Source organism: Homo sapiens, chromosome 9 (assembly GCF_000001405.40).
Source record: "Homo sapiens chromosome 9, GRCh38.p14 Primary Assembly".
In the NCBI taxonomy this organism is placed as follows: domain Eukaryota; kingdom Metazoa; phylum Chordata; class Mammalia; order Primates; family Hominidae; genus Homo; species Homo sapiens.
The window spans coordinates 14,380,381-14,403,835 of NC_000009.12; the positions used below are offsets into that span (position 1 = coordinate 14,380,381).

Consider the following 23,455-nt stretch of genomic DNA (forward strand, 5'->3'; position numbering starts at 1 on the left):
ACTTTCACCAGAATTTGGCCCAATAAAATGGTGATGTAAATAGAAAAATGTATCGGCACAGGTTAAAACTAAAGGGAAATGTCTTCATTCACTTTGCATCAATTCCGAATTTATCCATATAGAAAACAAGGAAGTCACATAATCCTCCTAGAGTCAAGAACACTGAGTATACATGGGAAATGATTAGAGCAAGCTCTTCATTTATGATAACAAATTACAGGAAGCAGCTGTCTAATAAATCCAAAAAAAATGTTGTTCTTATCTTGCCTGGACACCCCCCGCCTCTATCCTTATGCCAGCACATTAAACTATTTTGGAGAGTAGCAATGACCAGGAGCATGGTGCTTTTTATACATGATCTCTCATCCACACAATCACTCTGCAGAGGAGCTATTGCCATCCCTGTTTCTTCTAAAAAGAGTCTCAGTGACTGCACAAAGCCACACAACCAGGAAGGGGCCAAGCAGGGATTCGAACTAAAGGTGGTAGAAGCTAGGTGCTGTCACTAATTCACCTCATCTGTTCTTCCAGCACTCAGATCTCCTCCATACTGAGTGGAGGCCCCTGTTCCCTAACCTTAAATTTTCCTCCTTCATTGTTCATCTGATTTCCTGTTCCGGGAGGCAAATGTTGCAGTGAGCCGAGATCGCGCCACTGCACTCCAGCCTGGGCAACAGAGCGAGACTCCGTCTCAAAAAAAAAAAAAAAAAAAAAAAGATAATTATAATAATGCCTATTTGTATACCTTCTGTATTTGGTGTGAATCTGTACACCATCATGGATGCAAAAAGCATTTTCTTGTGTTTCTTTCTTTTTCTTTTTTCTTTTTGAGACAGAGTCTCCCTCTGTCGCCCAGGCTGGAGTGCAGTGGTGCAGTCTTGGCTTATTGCAACCTCCACCTCCTGGGCTCAAGCAATCCTCCCACCTCAGCCTCCTGAAGAGCTGAGACCATAGGCATATGCCACCATGCCCAGCTAATTTTTTAATTTTTGTAGAGACGGGGTTTTACCATGTTGCCTAGGTTGGTCTTGAACTCCTGGGCTCAAGTGATCTGGTTGTCTCAGCCTCCCAAAGTGCTAGGATTACAGGTGTGAGCCACCACACTTGCCTGAAAAGCATTTTCTAAACTGTAACGATTTTTTAAATAGTAATTATCATTACTTTGGACCAATGTCTGGGAATTCTAAGGAAGTCATAGACATACATGATGCAAATACATCCAGGCAGCTGGTGTCATTTTGTGACTAAGAGCAAGTGTGCACTGTGTGGAAGAAGAAATTTTTTTACCTACGGCCTAGGACAGGCCAATAATATAATTGGGATTTGGGGCAATTAAGGCAACATCAGGCAAGAACAGTATCTGGAGAAGCAATGAAAGAACCCAGTGGAAATTCACGTTTACTAGAATGTAAGCTCTGAAAGGGCAGGGTACCAGAACCGTGCCTTGCACATAGCAGCCACTCACAAAAATATCGGTTGAATGAATGAATAAGGGTGAAACGTTTTGAGTGCTCCTAATTCAAGTCCCTTACAGAGGGCAACTAAGAGAGTGGTACCAAGATGTTTGCATAAAGCACCAGCCTTTCAGGTCTGGCTTAGCTGGAAAAAATGCTAAAAACCTGAGAATTTGTTTGTTGGTTTGTTTTTTAAGAGGGAAGTTAAAATAGGCCCTTGTAGTTTGCTTTCGACTAGCTTGTCTCTCCCATTAAAATCTAAGGTCCCTGAGGGCAGACAAAAAGGCAACTGGCCTCTAGTAGGTACCCAGTCACTACTAGCTGAATTGTTGAGTTAGCTTCCTAAAAAAGTTATAAAGTCTTGGAGATACCCTCTGGAAGGCAATTCTTTTCGAAGCAAAGAAGAGGCTTCTTGACGAGTGGATGAATAACTAGCTCATGTTTGAGAACACAGCAAGGAATGTGCAGCTTCTGTACAATTGTTGACGGCACCAGGGAGGCAGAAAGTGATGAGAGAGAGAGAGAGAGAGGGAGAGAGAGGGAGATAGGAGTCTGTCCATTTGTGGTTCTTATTTATTTGGAAGATGACCGATCCACTCTTCCCAGTAGAATATAAGTAAGTACTGTTGCAGTGTCAGGGGAGAGAGGTGACTATATTTTGCTGGCCACAGGGCCAGCTCAGAGCCTGACATGCAGCCTGGCTCAATAGGGAATTGTTTGGAACTACCATTTTGGAAAATAGTTTGGCATTATCTAGTAAGACAGGCACACCCTCAGTAAAAATCCTCAATAAGCTCTTGCACGAGGGTAGCAGGTTACGTGTGCAAGGAAGCTCCTAGCAGCACTGTTTGTAACAGCCCCCAAATGCAACCAACATGTGTCTATCAATAGGATAACCAAAAAAAGTCATATATTCACCCAAGGGACTATTACACATCAAGAAAGATGATTGGAATAAATGAACTGTAGCTGCACTACTAGAAAAATGCAACACATAGAGAATGAAAGTCCAGGAAGAAAAAGCAAGCAAATAAAGCAAGGGATGGTAGAAGCTTTTGCAGAAAAAACCATCCTGGTGATACTAGATGTCTTGAATATTGAGTTTCTCAGGCTGGGTATCTGGAAGCCTCCCAACAGAATACAGCACAATTTGGAGAGAAGTAGCTAACTAATATCAGCTTATCCTTGGCCTCAATAAAACCAGTGTGGAACTCTTAAGAGAAGGATTATTAGGCCAAAGGAATATGACAAAAAATTGAAAATGAAAGGTAATAGGTTCACTCTGTCTTTGAAACTCTTACCTACAGTTTAATAAAGAAAGCTCGGTAGCAAATTCAATGAGAAATAGCTGCAAATTATCTAATATGTGAAGTTTAACTGCTTAGTTAGTCTGTTTACAGCTTTATTCATAGGACAGTTATTGAGTAACTCTCAAATTAAACTCCTTGTTTGAGGGCCCAGATACTGAAATACAGGTATATCCTAGTACACTATTGATTATATTTTTGGTGCCCAGAAAGGGTGGATCTGTTTGCCTCCTGGGTTGAAAGGAAGGAGGTATTCTAGAATTAATAATTCAAATAGGGCTGTTACACCAGGAGGAGAGAAAAGAGTGTCAAGGCGGTGCTAAGAATCTGGGAAACCTGCCAGCATGGTTTGCATGATGAGTGTGGGTAAAAATATAAAGAGAAACATGGTCCAGTGGTTGATTTGTTTCCTCTTCCTTTATAAGGGTGGTTTACTTTTAAGCAAAATTATGTGATTCTTTTTCAAGTTCTGTTAAGAACATAGTTGATAACAGATCTCTTTTAAGACCAGAGTTTCTGCAAGCATCATGCCCGACCATAAGAGAATTTGATCACTTTGTGTTTTCCTGCACCTTTCATCATGGCAGAGAGCGTACTCTGAAGATTTACATGGGATCATCTCTTCTCTGGCCACCTTGTGGAATGCAAACTATATCGCCATATCTAAAGGGGAGCCCATTACAATTTACAAATTAAAAGTCAGTGGGAAAGAACATAATCTTGGCAACTGCCTCTTGGGAAATCTTACAACTGCAAGAGCGCCATGGAAGAGCGCTTTAAATACCATCGTGTTTCATCCAATCTCCTCACAATTGTATAGGAGGGCATGTGGCCAAGGCCTTGCAGAGAAAAGGCCGGGGTGCCCAGGCTCGTGATTGGCTGGGGGGCGTGATGCTTAAGCGAGCCACTTAGCCCGCTCTTGCTTCATGAGGAGCACGCCACATGCTTCTTTGCACCTTCTTTTAAATCCTTGTGTGGTTGGCATTTGGAAAAATATCGACTGCAACCAGAAGTCGCAATCCTGATGACAGCTCCCGAAATCTCATCTTTCTCGCAGCAACATCTACTGTCAGCTCCCCACCCCTGTTACAAGAGAGCCTTCCCCACCCAAGTTGTGCTCCAAATAGAAAGAATTTCAGATGTACATATTTGGCTCTCTCCTCTAGAGGCCTTGACAAATATTCAGGTAGTAAACAGCCTGAGAGAAATGCTGCGATAAAATTAGTTCAAATATTTCCCAGAAAACAAACCTGACACCACCATGATACTTGATAGCTCAGCCTCAGCACTTTCGAACCTTTCCAAACCCCTTTGCCTTCAAAGCCCAAATGTCCTGTTTTAAATTGCTTTTATTTTTCTCCTTTCCAAACCTGATCCTTGCTACTTCCTCCTCTCAAAAAAAGAACCATATGGTAATAGAGTAGATTGTCCAACCAGGGATTTTACATTACAAATGACTACGTTGAAGGTTAATATCCAAGGTCAGGTGTCATTAATATCTATTTGAATTTTGTTCTTCTGGTTGATGATATGATCTCAGTCACCTCATTGATTTATAACATGGTAATCCCATACCATCATTCATTTTCCTGAAATTCTATTCATGGCCTGGTATCAAACCCTCTCTTTCATACCCTTTTCGTTTTGTCTGATCAGTAGCTTTACAGTCCTTGCATTTATCTCCTTCCCACAGGTCACACTACACCTTGCATCCAAGATTGTTTGATTGATTTTCACCTTCTCTTTTTCCTAAATCTTACTGTAGAAAAAAAAATGTTAACCCTTCTCTTGAGTATTTTACAGTACTTCACTCTCCAAAGCCAGTTCACATCTTGATTTTCAGGTAAGTAGCCTCTGTAAGTACATAGGCTTGCTGATTTGTCTGTATCAAATATGAGGCATTCGCTCCAACTTAGCTAAAGTTCTTGGACTCAAACTCCTAGCAAGAGCTAACAATCCTCAGGGCTCACTATGTGCTAGCCACTGGGCTCAGGGCTTTGATGGATTCTTATCTCATCCTCACAAAACTCCTGTGGGGGTTTGTGTCATTATTTCACCCACTCAGCCGATGAGGAAACTAAAGTTCAGAGAGGCTAAGGAACTTAACCAAGATCAGGCCGCATAGTAACTGGCAAACTTGGGACCCAAGCCCCACAGTCCATCTATTTACAAACCTTGTGGATATCACTAACTTTCAAACTGCCTTCTTCTAACTATTAAAGTGAAAATTTGTGGCCAGTTATTATAGATGATACAGCCATCATACAGAGGGGGTTGGGAGGCCTTTGCAAAACACATATTATTTGTAAAATTATCTCTGCACCTGGCATACCTACATACAAATATTTTTCTTATACATCTAAACATAAAATTAACTTTTAAAAAGCATTTGAAATGTCGCATATGTTAATATGAATAACACAGACAATTCTTACTTAGAAGGAAGGAAAAAAACCCACCAATATTCCTAGCAACTCAGAGACCACCACAGTTAACATTTAGGTATACAGCCTTCTTGCCATTTTTCTGAGCATGAGCACAATTTATATATTTGTAATCTTTTATAAATCACTTCTTCACAGGTATTTTCTACTTTTATGGTTGTCATCATTTCTAATATGGGATCAGAGACACAGTGGAATCTTTTTTTTTTTTTTTTGAAACAGAGTGTTTCTCTGTTTCCCAGGCTGGAGTGCAGTGGTGCAATCTCAGCTCACTGAAACCTCCATTTCCCGGGTTCAAGTGATTCTCCTGTCTCAGCCTTTTGAGTAGTTAGGATTACAGGCATGTTCCACGGCACCCAGCTAATTTTTGTATGTTCAGTAGAGACAGGGTTTCGCCATGTTTTCCAGGCTGGTCTCAAACTCCTGACCTCAGGTGATCTACCCACCTTGGCCTCCCAAAGTGCTGGAATTACAGACATGAGCCACCACACTCGGTGACACGGTGGAATTTTGATAAATGTGCTGAATCATTAGATGAAATCTAGTCATTCATTAATAATTTCATTAGGTTTTTGAGTATATATTACATACACTTGTCCAAAATTTAAATGTAGCATAATATATGTAGCAAACATCTCCCTCCTACTCCTGACTCATAAGGATACCTTGCTCTCCAGAGCTTGAAAGCCTAAGTTCCCAAATATCTTAGTACCCACAACTTAGGAGCATATGCTTGGATGAGTTAGTTTCTTAAATTCTGAACCCAAAAGAACAGAGTCCATCAAGAAACTCTGCCCCTAGCAAAAGTCCAACTTCGAAGGTCCTGTCTCCTGCCTTAGGACTCCAGGTCCTCAGGTGAGTGACACACCCTTCTGAAGAGCACTATCTTACGCTACAGGACCCAAGAATTGATCATAATACCAAGCACCACAATAATTCCCACATTATTTAAGAGATGCTCATAAAGGGGGGAGAAATATTTTTATCATGCATTCTCACAGAGGAACTCATGAGAGCCTCTTAGGGGACAAAATCAATCAGTGTTATTATTTCTGCTTTAAGCCAGTGGAATCTCTTTACTATATGCCAGTGTTTAAAGTTCAGTATGATGAATGTTAGTGCTTCTATTTTTATATATTTATTAGATTGTATAGACAAAGTACCAGCCCAGGGGAAGACAGCCTTGGAGACTGGAGGGGAATATTTTTAAATGTAGAAATTCTCAAAGTCCATTCCATAGAATATCAGCTCCTTGGTGTGTTATTAGGTGCTCCATAGCAAAGGAGGGTTCCACAGACAAATATGTTTAGAAAATGCTCATTAAAGGAAAGTCGGTTGCATTTTTAATTGCAAGACTTAACAGAACTTTTAATATCACACTGTAAACTCTGAAATTTTAAGAGGAGAAAAAATGTAAAATGAAACTGACCACAGAATGCTTTTCAAGGACTAGGGTTCCACACAGCAAACTTTGGGAAATGGTGTGAGATTCTGACAGCTTTGGCACTAAAAAGGTGTATGACTTGGGGTTAGGTGACTAACTGTTCATCACTGTGTGTCAGTTTAATCAGGTAATTAAGTAACCAACATCAACAAATTATTTTTTATACTGGCTTTTGCCAGTAACTATTAGAAGCAGATATAGAAGACCTGTGAAATCTTGGGTTCAGACGAGTGTTCTTTTCAATCTTGCTGTACTGCTTTAGAGTAGCAAGCACGGTGACATCATTTGGTACTAAAATATTATTACTATGCAACCATGAGCCTCACATTTCTCCACTTGAAACATAACTAAAAATTAAAAGCTTTTGAGAAAAGTGATTCTAAAATAAAGTTAAATGTAAGCCAGGTATTGGAGTAAAATATTTGCAATGCATATAACCTACACAATATTAGCATCCAGAATACATACAGTCATTAAAAATCAGTGAGAAGAAGAAACAAACAACTCAATGGAAAAATGAGCAAAGGATAGAAATTGAGGATTCATAAGCTATAAACATATGCCAGTAAACATATGAAAAGACTTTCTAACTTATTAGGAAAATGCAAATTAAGACAAGATATCATTTCACATCTATCAGACCAGCAAAAAATTTTCCAGTCTGACAAGGTAGGCATGGGGATTGGTACAATAATTCTTAGAATATTTTAGCAATACTTACAGAGTTAATTAAGTGTGCTTACTCTACGACACAGGATGGCCACTTCTAGGTTATTTCTTGGGGCAGTATTTTCCAATTTCCCCATTATGACACACATAGAGAAAGATAATACTCATAGAGCACAGTGGGGTAAGCCGAGGAGGCTGCTCATAGCAGGAGGTGCCCATTTAGGGGGCTGTGGTCACCTCAGGTCCCACTTCTTCTACCCAACTGTGAGGCACTGCTATACAGAATTGTATATAAGCTCTGCCCTAGAGAAGCTTATTTCTGTGTGCTCAAGAAGATGTACAAAAATGTGTACCACAGTATTTTTATCATACCAAAAGCCAAGCAAAACAAAATGAGAAAAACAACTTAGATGCCCATCAGTAAGGGAATGCATAAAAGTATTATAGGATACTACAGTTAATATTAATAGCTTGAATTACAAGGATGAGTTGCAAAAGCATAATGTTCAGTAAGAAAAGAAAAATGCAGCCAGGTGTGGTGGTATGCACCTGTAGTCCCAGCTACATGGAGGAGGCTGGGGTGGGAGGATTAATTGAGCCTGGGAGGTTGAGGCTGCAGTCAGCTGTGATGACGCCACAGAATGAGACCTTTTCAAAAAGAGAAAGAAAGAAGGAAGGAAGGAAGGAAGGAAGGAAGGAAGGAAGGAAGGAAGGAAGGAAGGAAGGAAGGAGAGAGAAAGAGAGAGGGAGAAAAAAGAGAGAAAGAAAAAGAGAGAGAGAGAGAGAAAGAGAGAGAGAGAGAAAGTAAGGAGGGAAGGGAGGGAGAGAGGGAAGGGAAGGAGGGAAAAATGCAAAAGAATACATGTGCTATGATACTCAGTGTACAAAACCTTAAAACCATCAAAAGTCTATATACCTACATAGTAAACATATAAAAATTATGAATGGGGAGGATATGACCAACTTCTAGATAGCAATTGCCTCTGGAAACGGAGGAGAGGCAGTGGGATTTGATAGTGGATGAGGAAGTCTAAGGATATCTGTGACATTGTATTTCTTAAAAAATAAAAATAAAACAAATGTGGCAATAAGTTTATGTGTTCAATCTAGGTAGTAAATACATAGTTTTAAAATACATTTTCACTATTTGTGTATATGACATGTCTTGTAATTAAAAAACAGGAATAACTAGATCAATGGTTTCAAGCCTGGATGTATATTAGAATTACAAGGAAGTTTTTAAAATTTTTCATGCTGGGGCTGTATCAGAGACCAATTAAATCAGAAACTTAAGGGTTGGGGCCTGGACATTGCATTGTTTAAAAGCTTCTCCAGTGATCATAGTGTGTAGCTTTGGATCAAGAACTGCAATATTAGATGATCGCAAAGGTTTCTTTCAAACAACATTTTCTGTTTCTAAACATTTTAATTGCAGTTTCCTCATATGGCTTCATGTGAACACAATTGTGTGTAACATGAAGTTAGGCCCTGTTAATATTCACTGAGAACTTTCCTTCTGTCACAACCACTTATCTTTTCCTGGTGCTCATGATTCTTTTGTTTTCTAGAATCACATGTTTCTCCTCTCCCATTTAAGTTGTTGTTCATCCCTCCCCCTTTCTCCTCCCACCTTTCTGAGTCCATCCCAACAAGCAATTCATCCAAGCACCACAAATTTAAGCTCTGAGTCATTCATATGCATTGCTTTTGAACATATTAAATAGATCCATATGCTTATCTATACTAAGATATAGATTTTTCCTTCAGAAAATAGAATACAAAAAAATCATTCCAATGTGTACACTTTAAATATTTTAAGCAGGCATCTAAAACGAAGCAGAAATTAAAGTAACTTGGACCAGAATTTTGAACATTAAAACATTACAGCAAATTGGTAAAACATAAACCAAATATATAGATGTCTACTTTATATCCAAAAAAGTTACTCTTTCCCTGCCATACACACAGACAACTCTCATAATGGGTCCTCCTCAATTAGAGTTGGATCACAAGCAGAACAGTAATCAGTGTGGCCTTTCCCAGCATTTCCACCCCCAAAGACTCTTTATTATCCTTCCCAACTTCAGAAATTTCTATGACATCATCATCAACCAATCAGAGCTTCTAATGGTTTGAAATAACTGATGTAGCCAGACACATTGAGTTGATATAGAATCAAAGAAATGTGACATTCTCCTTAGTCTGGGCAGTTGTGTCATGGATAAACATATGATTTCCATTAGATTTCTCAAAACACGGAAAAATCGCTTTCAGACCTTAGCACTACCTCTGAAGATACTTATTTTAGATTAGAACTACTAACTAAAGTGCCATTGTCTTAAACCCTACCAAAATCTGATCTCAGGGACAGTAAGAAAAGGAATGCTGAAATACAATATATGTCAACAGACCAGGAAAACTTCCAGCACCACTTAAAGTTCATTGGAAAGCAGACTGATGCCCCCAAAGGAAAAAAAGGCAAGCAATCATGCCACAGTTATAACAACAGACAGATCTGAGTTTTATGTGGATCCTACAGTTTTCTAAGGCATGACCTTGGGCAGATTACTTTACCATTCTAAGCTTCAGTTTCCTTATATATAAAATGGAGAAAATAAAAATACTTCCATACCTGATGCCCAGATCTAAATGGCTAATTTTGGGGGAAAGGAATGTACAAGAGAAGCCTGAAGCATCTTGCAATGCCAGAAAGTAAGGAAGGACTAAAAAAAATTGATATGTCAAAGGAATATGAGGGTAAACTAAAAGAGTAAACTCAAGTGTAAGAGTAAACTAAAAGAGCTCTCAACAGACAAAGTTGTCATAATTTGATTTTTAAAAATTTGGTACTAAATGCAATAGACTGAATTTTTGTGTCCTCCCAAAATTCATATGTTGAAACCTAATTCCCTGTGTGATGTTATTTGGAGGTGAAGCTTTTGGAAGGTTATTAGGTTATGAAAGTGGAGCCCTCATGAATGGGATCAGTGCCTTTTTAAAAAAGATCCAGAGAGCTCCCTCGGTTCTTCTTCTATGTGAGAACACAGTGAGAAGATGGCCATCTATGAACCAAGAAGTGGGCCCCCACCACACATCAAATCTGCTGGCACATTGATCTGGGGCTTCCTGGCCTCCAGAACTCTAAGAAATAGATTTCTGTTGTTTTTAAGCCACCTAGTCTATGGTATTCTATTACAGTAGCCTAAACAGACTAAGACTTTGGATTATAACCAAAAGTGAAGCACAAAATTTCTTGAGTTCATACTGATATAACAAAATGATTGCATATATAAAGAAATGGGGGGTGGAATAGACACATTTCACATACAGAAGAATATCAATTTGTACAGATACTTTCCCCTCAAAAAGGTGGAATATAACTCCCTACCCCTTAAGCATGGGCTGTGCTTAGACATTTTCTTTTAAAGAGTAAAGTATAGAGAGAAGACAGCAGGAGAGTAACTTTTTAGCGGAGAAACCTGACAAATACTACCTTGTCATTGGTTCAAACTCAATATTATCAGTGATAAATCATGATGGTAGCAGGAATCCTTTATATGATGTGATGGACACTTTATCTCTGTGGTCTTGTTAGGGTAGGTAGTTAGGCAGACAAGACCAGTGCAGGAGATGCCCCCCCCCCACCCCCCGCCCGCTTCCAGGAATGTCAGGTGACCATTAGGTGATGATCAGGTGGTTCTTAAACTGTCTCTCTAAATTAATAGTTGGTCAGAGCTGGTACCAGGGAAAGGCAGTCTCCCAATAGATAGGAAGGAAACACCTGAAGCTGGTAATCAGCAGCTTCCTGATAAGATCTCAGAAGTTGGGTGAGCAGGCTCAAGCATGTGCACTAAGAGGATTTAAATGAAATATGACTTTTCTCCAGGAACCATGGACTGGTAAGGGAAAAATGCCTCGAGTGAGCACACGTACAACTTCAGTAAACACACTGTGCATGTGGCCCCTCCAAAGTGCTGACAGGCCACTGTGCATGTGCATAGCCCACCCCAAGGGAAGAATCAGGGGAGAAAAAAAACACAGACCCTGGAACCATGCCAATGTATAAAACCCCAAGTCCAGGGCTGAACAGGACACTGAGAACTCTCAAGTTGCCTACTTGGCCCTCTTCCAAGAGTACTTTGCTTCCTTTCACTCCTGCTCTAAAACTTTTGAATAAACGTTTACTCACTTCTGCTCTAAGACTGGCCTCAGTCCCTCCCTCTGCCTTATACCTACTTCTGGCCGTCAGCTGAATTCTTTCCTCCAAGGAAACAAGAATCAAGTTTGCTGAAGACCCAGGTGGATTCTCTGCTGGTAACAGACTTCCTCCCAAAAACCCATCACCCGGTATAATCATGAGAGAAATTAAATTAAGAAACATTCTATACAATACCTGACCAATATGCCTCAAAACTTACAAGGTTATCAAAAACAAGGAAAGTCTGAGAAACTGCCACAGCCAAGAGGAGCCAAAGAAGACATAATGACTAAATATAACGTGGCATCCTGGATGTGACCCTGGGGTAGAAAAAGGGTATTAGGTAAAAAAATGAAGAAATTTGAATATAGATGGACTTCAGGTGATCATTGTCTATCAACATTGGTTTCTGAATTGTGACAAAATGTACCATACTAAAGTAAGATGTTAATAATCAGGACAACAGAGTGGAGGGTATACAGAAAACCTTTATATTATCTTTACAACTTTTGTATAAGTCTAAAACTATTCTAACATAAAAAGATTATAGACTGGGCACAGTGGCTCAGGCCTATAATCCCAGCACTTTGGGAGGCCAAGGCTGATGGATTGCTTGAGCCCAGGAGTTTGAGACCGACCTGGGCAACATGGTGAAACCCTATCTCTACAAAAAGTACAAAAATTATTCAGGTGTGGTGGTGCACACCTGTAGTCCCAGCTACTCAGGACGCTGAGATCTATTGAACCCAGGGGGCAGAGGCTGCATTGAGCTGTGATTGTGCCACTGCATGATAACAAGGTGGCAGAGCAAGACCTTGTCTCAAAAAAAAAAAGAAAAAGAGATTATTAAGAAAAATGGTTACCTCATAGGGTGGTTATTCTCATAACACCAAACTTAAAGCGTTTAGCACAGCGTTTGGCACATAGTACATGCTAATACCTGGCAACTATTATTGGTTAGCATTATTAAGCAGGGTTAATCCATGAGCTGCTTAGCAATCCATCTCAAAAGCAGAATACTCATATTACTTGAAGAAAGATCCGATAACTTCCACCACCTTAAGTGTTTATTCATGTTTTTACAAATCAACGGTCTTGCGAATCTTATCATTGTTATCTTTGCTGGGCAAGTCTATTTTCATTACCATCATTTTTCCAGCATTATTCTGTATTTAAGATAAAACTCCAAGGAATGAATTGTATTATGCCTCTGGATTATTAAACTCTCTCACCTTTCTGTGTAGAGCTCGGTAATGTTCCTTCTAATAACTTTCTTCCAATCGTGTCTCCTTAGCCAACAAATTTAATTTGTAGTCATATGATCAGAAATGTGCTGCACATCCTCCCAGTGCACTGGAACATCTTTGTCACACTGCAACATTGGCTATGGCCTAAAAAAATACATTTCACCATCTGGTGTCTGCTCACCACAATATCTCCATGTCTGGTTCCTACTTAAACTTGCATTCCTTCTACTTCATTCATTAAGCCTCTTTGACCCTGCCCCCAACTCAGATTGGAAGTCGTGTTACCCTCTTCTGAGTGCTTTGAGTACTGGAAGCACAGTCCTATACTGAAGGTTTCTGCAGGCATTCTGTGTAATCTCTCCTAGTTTGTTAACTCCCTCTGGGCTAAAGCCAACTCTGCTGTACCTGGTAACCTTTTCCACATTTAGCTCTGAGTCCAGCACATCTAGGACTCCCAGTAAACATTTATTGAAGTGATGCTAATTTGAATGTCATCCAAAAAACTAACTCAAGCACTCAAATGAGCTTGCCTACCAGGAGGATTTATCTCACTTAGCAGAGCACTCCCGAATAGGCTTTACTGAGTTGTCTGCAGAGACCATTTCCAAGAACTGATAATAAAACAAAAATAAAAATAAATGCCACTAGTGACTGCCTTATTTTCCTATTGGTTTGTTTTTGTATAATTATAATTCTTCTGGTTTGTTTATCGGAGTCAGTCATCTTTTCTTTTTCTTATTAAGGCCAGTTACAGTATTTTTGGTAAATTAACAAATACAGAAATGGTTATCCCAACATGTTCCATTCCTTCAAGGTCATGAGAGGGAATGCTAAATCAGACAAATAGGTAAAATAAGACTTTTGTTATCTGTCCATCCACCCACTCATCCATCTGTTTATGTATTAACTTATCCATCCTACTTCAATAGTCATTTACAGATGCCTACCACATGCCAGGTGTTATGCAAAACACTGCAGATGCAGGGGTGAATAAGAAAGGCCTATCCCTCAAAGAGGTCCCAATCTAGTGGGGGAAAAACAGCCAAATAAATAAATAAGTACAAATTCAACATAACAAGTGCTATTATAAGGATAACATAGGACAGACACTCTAGTTGGACATATATGCTCATAGAGTAATGATTCTTGAGCCAAAACAAACAAACAAACAAATCCCAATTATATTAGTCTGTTCTCACACTGCTAATAAAGACATACCTGAAACTGGGTAATTTATAAAGGAAAGAGGTTTAATGGACTCACAGTTCCACATGGCTGGGGATGCCTCATAATAATGGTGGAAGGCAAAAGAGAAGCAAAGGCATGTCTTACATGGTGGCAGGCAAAAGAGCTTGTGCAAGGGAACTCCCATTTATAAAACCATCAGACCTTGGGAGACATATTCACTACCATAAGAACAGTATGGGGAAAATGCCCCCATGATTCAATTATCTCCACCTGGCCCTGCCCTTAACAAGTGGGGATTATTACAGTTCAAGGTGAGATTTGGGTGGGGACACAACCAAATCATGTCACCAATCATGGGTTGTTTCATGGATTCCTTCAAATGGCTTCCATGTCTTGTAGAGGACTTGGAAGACTGGGAATGAAGCCTCACCTCTGACATTTCCTAACTGTGATCATAAACAAGTTACTGAACTGCCCTAAGTCTCAGCTGCCTTCTCTGTACAATAGTATCATTGCAGTCCTTGTTTAAAAGTTCCTGACACGGGAGATGTGTGTAAACTCTAAAGGGCTGTAAGAATATAATTAATTAGTTAATGAATTGCAATTATTATTATTATATTGATTACAAGGCAAAGGAAAATATTTTTCCCTTATAACCTCCTCTGGTCCACTCAATCTCCGCAAGAATTGGAAATTTTTGGTAGGACCAGTTTTTTCTCTTTATCTATTTAGTCAAGGTCTACATTTCTGCTTTTACTAGACTGGTGTCTGGTGGCTTCCTCAGAACCCTGGGTGCCAAGATGTCAGTGTATGCTGTGACAGAGCACCTGGCAGATTGACTTTAAGCCTCCATATGTGTGCTAGCTACCCCATCGCTGCTCAGAACAGGAGGTCCAAACAGCAGTTTTGGATGCTGTGATTTTTAGAACTCAGGTTTTTAGTCTAGTCAGATATTCATTAATATTTCGGGACAGCCAAAAAAAAAAAAAACCTAAAAAAAAAAAATCAAGAGATGCAACATCTTAAGGAAGAAAGTTTGGATCCTGTTTGAAAAAAATAGTAGTGATTGGGGGTTGGGGAGAAGGGCAGTAGTGTCCCAATACCAGCTCTGAGAGCTGGCAGGGGCTTTGTGGCCTGGATGAATTCAAAGCAAACAGGCCTACAGGACATGAAGCCACATGTTTTTCTCGTGAGCCCCACAAATATAAAGCTCCCTTAATCCACACTAAAATAAAACTGAAATGTAAGCCGGCCCCGATCTGTATGCAGCATGACCTCTTCCACCACCCTACAGTTCATTCATTCTCCAACCCAGTGGTTGCCTTGCCACGCTAATTTTACCTCGTAAAAAATTCTTCCTCATCCCTCCTCATCCCCCTCCCATATTCTTTTGACTTTTTTTTTTTTTTTTTTTTTTTTTTTTGCCACCCAAACAGCATCCCAGAATGCCTCATTTGGTGACATCACAGATAGCCATGGGTTGCTTCTGGTGTCCCATCTGTTCCTGCAGGCCTTGCCTCAGTGCGGGTGAGATATGAAGGGAGTGTTCAGTTGAGGCTGGGGTGTGGGTGGGGGTGGGGATCGGGCCTTTGAAGCTGTTTTCTATCAGGGCACTGCAGCTGTCAGTGTTGGCTGCGGAAGCCAGTGATTGTCCTTGTAGCTCCCTGTTGCCGGCAGTGCACTGTGCTTGCGGATATTAATTGGGCTTTCATTATGTGAATGAACCCAGAGGCTTTTGCAGCCGATTCCTATATCTATATTGATTTATTAAAAATGCCAATAAATAATAGCTCTCGCAAAGCAGCTTTTAATGTATTTGATAATTAGTTGGTTTATGTTTTTTTCACCATTTTTCTCCCTTTTTTTTTCTTTTTACACATCACAGCATAATAGATCACAGAATCTTTGGGACAACGAACAGGCACATTGGCTAAATCACCTTATTACACTTCCATATAGTTGAAAAGAGGCTTAATGTTAAATTATGAGATCCCAGCTATTGTGGAAACCAAGAAAGAATAATGCTCCAAAATAACGACTGTGGCGCCTCTGTGCCACTCATTGTCCCAGGAACTGTTGGCACGCCTCCCATGGGAGCTCTCCATTGAGTCAGCCGTCCTCTGAAATGAACAGTGGGGCCCAAATTCAGGTGGGGAGCCTCTTTACTTTTTGGTGTATTATAGGCTATAAGATATCTTAGGACCTGGGCTTTGGGGAAAAAAAAACAAACCCAAAACCCTTATATTACATTTGTGTGTAACTGTGGGAAAAATTGGCACACCCCAAATTCAGCATGTCACAGGAGACTTCAGCACCCAGGATACTATATATTATCCCTCAAAAAGTGGAGACGAAAGGAGAAATTGCTCATTTGTTTCATTTCACTGAAACTTTTCAAAGGAAGAAAAGATGTTCATTAAAAGTTAACAGTGAGGCAGTTTTGCTGAACTCCTAAAGAAAATGTCATTGTCACAGGAGCCTGTGACCCAGTATCATTCTCTGTAGCTGAATCTAAGGTGCCTGTGGTCTTTGAGCCATTAATGGAATTGAAAAAGAAGAGAGGTGCCCCAAGAATGTGGGGATGCAGATGGATTTGGGAGGACCATTGTTATAGCCTGCATGTCATGACTTTATAGGAAGTAAATATAATTTGGATTCTAAAAACTAAGTAGGATAAGAGATCCTAACGAAGCTCTTCCTTTCAGTTCTGGGAAGAGGAGTTGAAATTGATTTCTTTATAATAAATGATTTATGTCCAATTCTCTCTCTCTCTTTCTTTCTCACTCTTCTTCTTTAAGTAAAAAGCCCACTGATATTAGATGGGCAATAGTGGAAATATGGAACAAATGAGAAAAAGCAAAACTGAACCTTAACAAAATTGCTGTTGTCATGTTCAACTATAGGTTGTTTCTGCAGTGTTACATATGGTTATTTCTAATGCAGTCTCTGAGAAAAACAAGCAAACAACTGTGTTTCAGGTAAATATGCAAAGATAACTGTGTATTTGTGCCATTGGACAAATTCTTCTTGAACAGCTTTATGCAGTTAACAGTTCAGTGATGACAATGGAACTTTAGGTAGCAAATATAATAACTAAGTGCTAATTTTGGAGAAAACAATCCTTGTTTCTGACTATTTAATATGGCACTTCTCTTTATAAACTGTAAAATGGGTAAAGAATAAAAGTATCCCTTTATCCCCCCCAAAAAGATTCAGAAATTATTCACAAGTCTTTATCTGGCCCAAAACTAAGGACCCAGGGTCATTTTAAGAAAACCATCACATTCCTATTCAAGACCATATGAAGTCATGCTTATTACTTTGTAACCATATTCTCTTTCAACTTAATAAGAGAAATAAAAAGACAGCCAGCAATATCATGCCTAACCTTTACCCCACTGAGGTGTTCTGACATAGTAGCTATACAAAGACACCATTATTAATTAAGGTATGTTAATAAGGAAGAAATAATATTCCATTCAGAAGGGTACAGAGAAGATATAATGGGTACGTGCTGCTTTTCAGAGAACCAAGATAAAACAGAAAAGTGACACATACGGAGGAGATGGCACCATACTGTCATTCTGGTTTTCTCATGTCGCCTGGGTGGTTTCCTCAGCAATATAACATTTGTAGTAATGGCCTCCATTCATTTAGTGCCCACTATGCTCCAGGCTCCATGTAATGTGCTCACATATATGAATATTTCCCATACTATTGAGTTATATTACTGGAAATGTCAAGACCAAAGGCTGCTTATTGATTTTTTTTAAGGGCTTAGAGTGGGGTAAAATAGTAGAGGTATAAAAAAACAAAGAAAGATACTTATCTTCATTTCGTGGATTATTTCTCAGTTTTCAGTTTAATTTCTCTCTCAACTAACCTTGCAGAAATTTAGGGCCTATGGGAAGGGGATTAACTTCATAATACCTATGCTGTTTCTTTTCCCCGAAACATCTACAATTTATCCCCCAGCTTCTGTATTATTTCTGTTACCATTTCCAAATAATCCTTATGCCAGCTCTGAAAGTTCACCTCAGTAGTCGCTCTACATTGGAAAACCAGCCCTGCAACAGGAAGGACCTTCTCTAGAGCAGCCATATTTTCTGAACCCCACACTGAGACACATTGTCTAAGAAGTTGGGACCTATTTGAAAGAAAAACTGGTTAAATTTGTGAAATTTAGACTCACAGAAAATCCAAAGCACAGAGTTGACATTCTTTTAGGAATCCCAGGGTTACATTTCAGAACTGCACAGCAGACAACCCAGAAGTCCACAGACACTGGGATTCTTTCCATACTCCGAACGGATTCCCGACAAGAAGCCTGTAGGCTCTGCTTCTGCCATTTGCGCTGTTTTAGAATGTTTGCTCCAGGTCACCGAGTACCTTAGCAAACGCAGCTTCATAGGAATGAACAGGCAGAAGGTCCGAAGAGTTTGAGGGTGACTGATGGATCTTTATGGAGCAGAGCAAGCTGTTAAAAACAAAATAGAACAAGAACAAAGGGGTCCTGTACACTCGAGGAGTTTACTCCACTAACAGTCTTGCTCCGACATGTGAATCTTTTAGATCGGTGTCAGCTCAACAGTGATATTCTATGAAGTCATTCAGTGTAGGCATTTGATCATCTAGACCTGTACTGCCCAATATAGTAGCCCCTAGCTACAGATGACTACTGAGTACTTGAAATGTGGCTTGCATGAATTGAGATGTGCTATAAATGCAAACTATATGGGAATTTCAAAAACGTAGAACACATAAAAAAGAACACAAAATATATAATGTACAATTTTTTATATTGATCACATGTTAAAATAATATTTTGAATATATGTTGTTGGAATTAATTTTACCTTTTCACTTTTAGAAATGTGGCAACCAGAAAATTTAAAATTACAAGTGTGACTCTTGTTTAAGGCTCACATTATATATTTCCATTGAAAGCACTGGTCTAGATAGTTGGATGGAATAATAGGACACGATGTTATAGGCCAAGACAAGTCTTCTGAAATTATCTTTGCTTTGTTCTTAATTTTGCAGCTGACATTAACACAGGAATTCTAAATAAAGTATGAAAAGATGTTTTATATGAATACTTTTTTTGGTATAAATGTATTTTTATTAGTGAGTCTCTCTTTTAGTTAAAAATAGGCAAAAAATTTGCAAGTAATCAAAATAACAGCTTGAAATAAAAAATTACAAATACCTACCCTTTGGTTTTTAATTTTTAACGTTGCAAAGAATTATAAATAATGATTGATTTTGTCTCCCTGCCCCCAGAAGAGTTAAGTTTACTTAGATTTGATTTTAAAATTCTTGAAAGCCAGAAGTCATGTTCAAGTGAAAAATAAAAAAGTCAGCATTAGGCATCTGGTTATTATAGTCTTTACTTTGAAAGAAATAAAATACTGCAATATTCAGTGAGAGTTGTTTAAAAGTTGCATATATCTTCTAGGTTGTATTGCTATTCTTAATAAATCAAGAAAGTTCTTGTGGTTTGAGTTAAGCAACTTGGTAAAATAAGTATGTGACATTTAACTTAAGCCACAGAGTATTGCCCAAATGCACTCTTGTCCCTGGCCATCTCTCAATGTTCAGATTCTTTTATAACATGTTGAAATCATCTTACATGACAATTTTACCTTGGAGTACGTAACAGCTAATCAGCTGTAACAAACAATACTAGATCAAAGGCAAAAACACACATTTTTCTTCACTAGTAAGTCCTGGACTTTAAAACTTCAATAGCAATTTTAAAGCATGTCTTCATAATGAATAGTGTATTGCAAGCAGCAGAATGCATTCTCAACAGTAGCTTTATGTTCTGTTTACTTAAAATCGTTCCATATGCACTTATGATAAATTACTTAATCTTTAAACATAAAATGTCTTAACTCAAGGATAAGATTCCCACTCAGTAAATGCACAGGGATCCTACTACTTCTTAATCAGAAAGCTAAAAATATGTGCATTCAGAAACGATGTTTGCTGAAGTACTTGCAAGCCTAAGCCTCTTCATTCTAAAAGGGATATATCCAAGGCTGACACCAAGGAGATGACTTTGCAGAATAAAAGCTACATGTTTTTCCCGTTAAATTTTGTTTTGTTTTGTTTTTTTGACCCAACTTTGGATTGTTGAGGCATCAGGTAAGAAGCTGTAAAAACATACATTCTATCCATGCTGAGTAATATACAGGTCACAGCTGTAACTCAAGTTAAGCCACCAGCTAAGAATAAAAGCACAAGAAAATAAACCAACCAAAATCGAAAGCAAACAACATGCTTATCACATAATAACTATTGAATAATGCAAATATTAACAAAGCAAACCAAGCAGGAGGCCTCCATCTCAGGAAGAAGAAAAGCCAGCAAATGGAAGGCAGTGATTGGGAAAGCGATAGGCTCTTCCTCCTCGTTCATTATTGAGAAAAAGTGGATCAGGACTGACATCTGCTGGCCTTGCTAATGGGATGTACCCATTGAAACAAGGGTCTTGGAGAACAAAACATTCTGGTGGGGTGATATTGCATCACTGGCGTAGGGAGGAGGCAATGGCTTGGCAAAGGCCTTTCTGGTGAGCCACTTCCGAAGTAGCCAATCAGCGACCACTCCTCGGGCCAGAGTAGCCTCAGTTTTTCACCCTCTTTGATATTTCACCCTCATAACCAGGAATGTTTTTCTAATCATCCCAAGAAGGGACAGAATATTATGTAGGTGGATTTCTACTTAGGATGACACAAGTTCCAAGAAGTAGTGGTTAAGTAGATGCTCAATAGATATGACAGACAATTCCAAGTCTTTATCAAAAGGCTCATTGGAGAATAAACTACTTGAAAAGGCTCATTGTGTGTCTACCCATTGACAACCTCAATAGCTTTCAGCAGTACCACACTAGGGATCAATCAGCCTCTTGACATTCACTGAGTCAATGTCCTGAATCTGTTCAACTTTTGTCAATCTCTCTTCTACCTGCTCTATTTTCTAACTGAAATCAATCTTGTGGCACAGACACTGGGTTTGTGAAATTTTGTCCTCGTGAGGCCTTGCTTCCAATCTCTGGGGTCTTAGTTTTCTAAGCACAGTACTATCCATCATTGGGAAATACCAGTTCACCATCGGCCTGGAAGCTACAAGAAACCTAGGGCAGCGTCTATCTTACTCAAGTCATCTTCTTGGCACCTAGTACAGTTCCTATCCTATAAATAGTTACTCAACAAGTATTTATTGACTTACTTTGAAAGTTAAGTATTCTATATTCCCTTATGTTGCTTTTAGGAATGCAATTTCTGTACCGTGGATCTAAACAGAGCCTAGTGGTCTAGTGTTTAATTAGAAACACTAGTTTTAATTGGAAATAAGCAGTGATGCTGAGTACTTTTTGGGCCTCCCACCAGTGCCCATCTCCATGTCATTTTAATCTTATCTCTTATGGGAGGCACATCCTAGGCTTTGTAATAGTAAGCTTAGGTCATGAGTTATACAGAAATTCTTTTCCAGAACAATCCCTAATGTGCTTCATTTCAATAATAAAAGTGAGACTGGTGGGCCAGAAATCTTTTCCCTACACCTTTTGCTTATATGAATGTCAAAGTACTGTCACAAGTATATATGACTGCTGTCTCTTTCAGTTAAATACATATGTATGCCTCTTAGTGTACGTGTGCATGTACCCCTGGACACAAACAACTTATTTAAAAAAATTCTTTTTACAAGGCATATGGAAAAATTGAAGCCTGGAAAATTTTCCCCAGAGACAGAAGGGGGAGAAAGCCTGAAACTTTGACTGCCAGAGCATGAAAGAGACATACTGATCACACATTATCTTTAAAAACACTTGCAAAAATCATCCGGCTTAGATGAAGCTGGATGAAATTGATCCAGCAAAGCTGAATTACATTGCCACCTCAAACTACATTTTGGGAGGCAGAGGCAAACTAGTGCATATAAATCATTAGCTTTAAGGAGAAAATTATTAGCTTATGTCAAAAACTCTGCAAATCCCATTTTCTCTTTTCACCTTCTTTGAGACTCTGTACTTTGCTTCCAGCTTAAACAAAAGAAAAATGAACAGTTTCAGTTTGCTTAAATACAGTTGAAGTAAAGGTCCTTTTTTTAATTATGAGGAAATAATTCTGAGTATTTTTTGTAGTCATTAATGTTGTAATGGGATTAATAGTTTATATATATTTGTAAGATTCTCTAAGCCTTAGGATTATTCTCAGATTTAAAAAAATTAAGATTGTAAAAGAAAACATCAGCCTTAAATTATTGGGTACTACCATCTCAATATTTATAACTCATTTCAACAGTTTTATTGAAAACATGTTCATTTACATTTGAAAAAATTTGAAGGGGGAAATAAAAATCATCCTGCTCAAAAACTTTGCAAAGCATTTTGCTTTTTATATACCATGGTAACCTAATAAAGACACTGTCACGTGGCAGATGGCATGGTATATTAGCCTTGAAATGAAACACTAGATGCCAAAACTATTAACTCCAACGTGCTCAGAAATTTAAAAAATAATACTTTTTAATAATTTTTTAAAGCAATTAGCTTGTCTTTCATCTTATCCTGCAACAAAAAGTAGTCGATTTCTAAAAAGGAAAAAAGCTCCAGTGCTTACTCAAATATGATTTGCAAATACAGTACCAGGAGGTATTTGAAATACTGAATCTGGACTGGAGCATCCAGGCTAATAGTCTCAGTCCTATTTACAATCATTTTGGCCGACATGTACAGACTCTCCACTTATGCATTGTTTGAGCAGAACATTTCTTTTGTCCTGTTCTTGCACCTTTATCCCAGCCCCTTTTCAAACACATAGTTTATACAGGCACCTGGCTCTGCACTCTTAAAATCTGAGCATCTACGGCTATGAAACGATGTAAAAGGGGTCTGATTCCTCAGGCCAAGATGAGCCATGTTCAGAATACAGCCTTGTCTCTTTAAGAGACGATAGGTTTTTGCAGGCAGCCTCAGCAGGCAAGGCAGGGCATCTGTGCCAGGTGGCCATGCTCCCGGATCCCTGTTTTAGGGTGTAATAGAAGAGACAGAATACCCCTTTCCCAGAAATTTCCCTTTTTTGTGGTGCCCAACATCCATATTTTGTAATTTTCAGACTCTTAATTCTAAATCTAAGTTATACTGGAAAAGAAAGCCAGATTCTCCCTCTCCTCCCCTCCCCTCCCCTCCTCTCCCCTCTTCTTTCCCATTTCTCTTTTTTCCTAAAGAGCTCATTGAACATATAACTTTTTAACCTCATCTAAATCAGGGCAAATAAACTGAGACATGGTAATGCATGCCATAGTTTTTCTTATGAAAATAATACAGGATGAAAGGAGATTTTCTTGTTAGAGAGGAAAGGATTAAACATCTTTACCCTGTATTAGTCGGTTGTCTTTTAAAATATTGTCATGTAATATCAGTGCCACTTAAAATCTTTGGAAAAGCAAATCTTTCTCTGTCAAAGAGATGCCATAATTCACATTCCCAGGAAGG

The 23,455-nt window shown here is 38.9% G+C and overlaps 1 protein-coding gene across 5 annotated transcripts in view, besides 2 other annotated features; it reads right to left on the reverse strand.

Moving 5' to 3' along the window:
* Positions 1–23,455, reverse strand: part of NFIB (nuclear factor I B) — a 450,235-nt gene that overhangs the window by 298,538 nt on the left and 128,242 nt on the right. The window contains exon 1 of one of the 5 annotated variants that reach the window (NM_001190738.2): positions 18,144–18,603. The exons of the other annotated variants lie outside the window; for them this stretch is intronic. Within the exon in view, the coding sequence (NP_001177667.1) occupies positions 18,144–18,251 (108 nt within the window). The 5' untranslated portion in view covers positions 18,252–18,603. Of the gene's footprint in view, positions 1–18,143; positions 18,604–23,455 lie in introns of those variants that run through there. 5 annotated transcript variants of the gene reach the window in all.
* Positions 4,630–4,924: a silencer, noted in NCBI's record as "tiled region #5074; HepG2 Repressive non-DNase unmatched - State 21:Repr". NCBI's record gives its function as "represses a minimal TATA promoter and a strong SV40 promoter by Sharpr-MPRA in HepG2 cells {active_cell/tissue: HepG2}" and the evidence as "EXISTENCE:reporter gene assay evidence [ECO:0000049][PMID:27701403]".
* Positions 15,441–15,658: a silencer, noted in NCBI's record as "fragment chr9:14395820-14396037 (GRCh37/hg19 assembly coordinates)". NCBI's record gives its function as "represses an EF-1alpha promoter that drives an FKBP-Casp9 reporter gene in an ReSE screen in K562 erythroleukemia cells {active_cell/tissue: K562}" and the evidence as "EXISTENCE:reporter gene assay evidence [ECO:0000049][PMID:32094911]".